This window comes from Homo sapiens, chromosome 19 (assembly GCF_000001405.40).
Source record: "Homo sapiens chromosome 19, GRCh38.p14 Primary Assembly".
Lineage (NCBI taxonomy): Eukaryota > Metazoa > Chordata > Mammalia > Primates > Hominidae > Homo > Homo sapiens.
In genome coordinates this window covers 15,610,426-15,613,646 of record NC_000019.10, presented here as the reverse complement: position 1 = coordinate 15,613,646, position 3,221 = coordinate 15,610,426, and the positions used below count along the sequence as shown (strand labels likewise).

The window sequence follows — 3,221 nt, the reverse complement described above, 5'->3', positions numbered from 1 at the left end:
ATCACGTAAAGAGACAGGCAATGATCCAATAAATCAGACAATCCAATAAATCAGAGAATCAGGGAGGGCTTCCAGGAGGAGGTGACCTTTTAGCAGAGACATGAATGAAGAGGGAGACCCTCCAAGGGCAGCCATGGGATGCGGCACCCAGCTGCGCAAAAATGCACATGAGTTCTTCTTCCTTTGCAGTTCATGCTGAGATCACCAACACATGGGACCACACAATTCATCCTTGGGAAGGCCAAGGTGGGAAGTGAAATCTGGCCCAATATTGAAGCCATAAGCATATGTTGAACTTTCATGAGCCATGAGCAAGGACTCACACCCCAGCAGGACTCTGCAGCCTGGGAGAAGCCAAGTTTCATCACTGAGGTCCTGATTCCTGGACCAGGTAGCAGAACAGGAAATTGAGGCCAAGGGCAGGAGAGATAGTCCAGAGGGAGCTCTCTACTCTGGGAGTTTTGTGCCTGAGAAGGCTGGAGTCTCCCCAAGATTTCTCATCCAACCAGGAATATCTCAGGGGCCAAATCACACAGCCTGGCTTATGGAAAGTCCCCTAGTGAGTATTGGAGGGAGGGGAGTCACTCATGGGAAAACAGAAGCTGGTGCTTCTCTGCAGGGGCCCTTCCACCCCTACCCAGAGTGGGGCAGTGGGAAAGTGCACCAGACCACAGAGTGACCAGCCTCAGTCACCACCCATCAATTCCTAAGCCTAAGTCTTCACATCTGACAAATGTGTCTCCTAAAGCATCACAAAGCATTGCCAGCATTCTATCAGACACAGGGAGAGAGAGCAGAGAATAAGTTCCAAATTAAAGATGTGAGTAATGGTCCCATCAATATAAAAAACGTACGAGTGTATGTGTATGTGTCTGTATGTACACATGTGTATGCACACTGAAAAAAATCCAGAAGAATGCACATACCACGATGGAATTGGAGAAATTACAATTGGAGTAGAAACCTTTTAACTTTCTACACGTCTCTGTTGCTTCGTTTTTCAAGCTGGGATGCTATAAATGTAATAATTAAAACAATTTTTTTTTTCCTCTGAAGTCCTTGTCCTTTATTGGGCAAGGGGTGAGGGAAGCAGACAGACCGGTTGGACACAGTAGATGGGTGTGTGAGGACAAAATGCTACCAGAAAGCCAGCCAATCCACACTCCCCTGAAATGGATGCTAACGCCCTTCAAACCCTGGGCATTGGTTTCATACACAGCCTCTTCCAGGGATAAAAGGGGTTCTTGTACAGCTTCTTGTTACCCTCAACCATGGAGGCAAGTTCTGAGTTCTGGTTTTCCTAGGACACTAACTCTAGTCACAAAGATCTCTGGAGTGATCACACATGGTGGAGTGGCAGGGTGAATATTTCAAAAGGATAAGTAGAACAGGAGTCTTGCCCAAGCCCTGTCATGTCAGTGTCTGTGTGTGGCCTCCCAGCCCAACCAGAAATTGACAGAGAGGCATGTATATGGTGAAAAGATATATATATATATATTCAGAATTAGGCAGCTGCACTCAGTTTAGATAATCCCAATTTTGTTGGCAACATCCAAAGCATCGTAATCAGGAGTCAGTCGAACATATACCTTCTTCTCTCCATCAGGCCGAATCAGGGTGTTGACCTTGGCCACATCAATGTCATAGAGCTTCTTCACAGCCTGTTTGATCTGGTGCTTGTTGGCTTTAACATCCACAATGAACACAAGTGTGTTGTTGTCTTCTATCTTCTTCATGGCAGACTCAGTGGTCAGCGGAAACTTGATGATAGCATAGTGGTCAAGCTTGTTTCTCCTGGGAGCGCTCTTCCGAGGATATTTGGGCTGTCTCCGGAGTCGCAGTGTCTTCGGCCGCCGGAAGGTGGGTGACGTGTGGATCTTCTTTTTGTGGCTGTGGACACCTTTCAACACTGCCTTCTTGGCCTTTAAAGCCTTCGCTTTGGCTTCGGCTTTAGGAGGGGCAGGAGCTTCCTTCTTCACTTTCGGCACCATCTTGTGAAAAGGGTCCAAAACAAATTTTTTTAAATAAATAAGGATTTGGTACAGTGGGGACACAGTTGATCCACAACATAGGTGAGTAGTTCTGTTTCGTTTTGTTTTGTTTTGCTTTGCTTTGTTTTTTGAGACAGAGTCTCACTTTGTCACCCAGGCTGGAGGGCAATGGTGCCAATCTCGGCTCACTGAAACCTCCGCCCCACCAGGTTCAAGCGATTATCCTACCTCAGCCTCCCGAGCAGCTGAGATTACAGGCATGAGCCACCACACCCAGCTAATTTTTGTATTTTTAGTAGAGACAGGGTTTCACCATATTGGCCAGGCTGGTCTCCAACTCCTGACCTCAAGTGATCCAACCACCTCGGCCTCCCAAAGTGCTGGGATTACAGGCGTGAGCCACTGCGCCCAGCCAATAGGTGAGTTGTTCTTACTGTGTCACCATGAAGACCCAGCTCCCAGGAATCGGCCTGCAGTCTCCCTAGAACAAGCACACGGGCTGCCCACTAGCTGGAGTTTCACCTTCCCTGTCCTTGAATGCTCAGGAAGGAACACATTCTGGCTTCAGCACAACTGAGTTCAAGTCCAGGCTCTGCCACTCACTAGCTGTGTAACCCTCTGAGTCTCATAGCCTCCTCGATAAAATGCAAAGGTCAAGTTCTAACTTTTAGGTAATTAGTTTCTCAACAACAAACTTCACATGAACACTTAAATGGTAGCAGGCATGGTGCTAGGACCTGGGACACAGGTTGAACAAGACAGACGTGGTCTCTGCTGATAACCTACCAGTCACATTAGTCCCAATTAGCCCCCGGAAAAGATCTCTTGATGCATGGGTTACATCCTGTTCCTGAGTAAAGAATCTTGTGAGTTCCTCAAATCTTATCTTTAATTACTCAGATCTTATGAGTTCTTCCAACTGTTGATGTTCTGATTTTCCACTGATATGGAAAAGCACAATCCTTTGTTTCTAAACCATGAAGTTTTGCTTTATATTTATAAATCATAAAGTTTTTCTTTTCTTTTCTTTTTTTTTTTGAGACAGGGTCTTTGTCACCCAGGCTGGAGTGCAGTGGCGCAGTCTCATCTTACTGCAACCTCCATCTCCTAGGTTCAAGCAACCTTCCTGCCTCAGCCTCTCGAGTTGTTGGGATTGCAGGCATGTGCCACCATGCCCAGCTAATTTTTGTATTTTTAGTAGAGCAGAGTTTCACCATATTGGCTAGGCTG

General features: G+C 46.5%; 1 pseudogene; it reads right to left on the bottom strand.

The window, feature by feature from the left end:
- On the bottom strand, positions 1,047-2,006 carry RPL23AP2 (ribosomal protein L23a pseudogene 2; annotated as a pseudogene).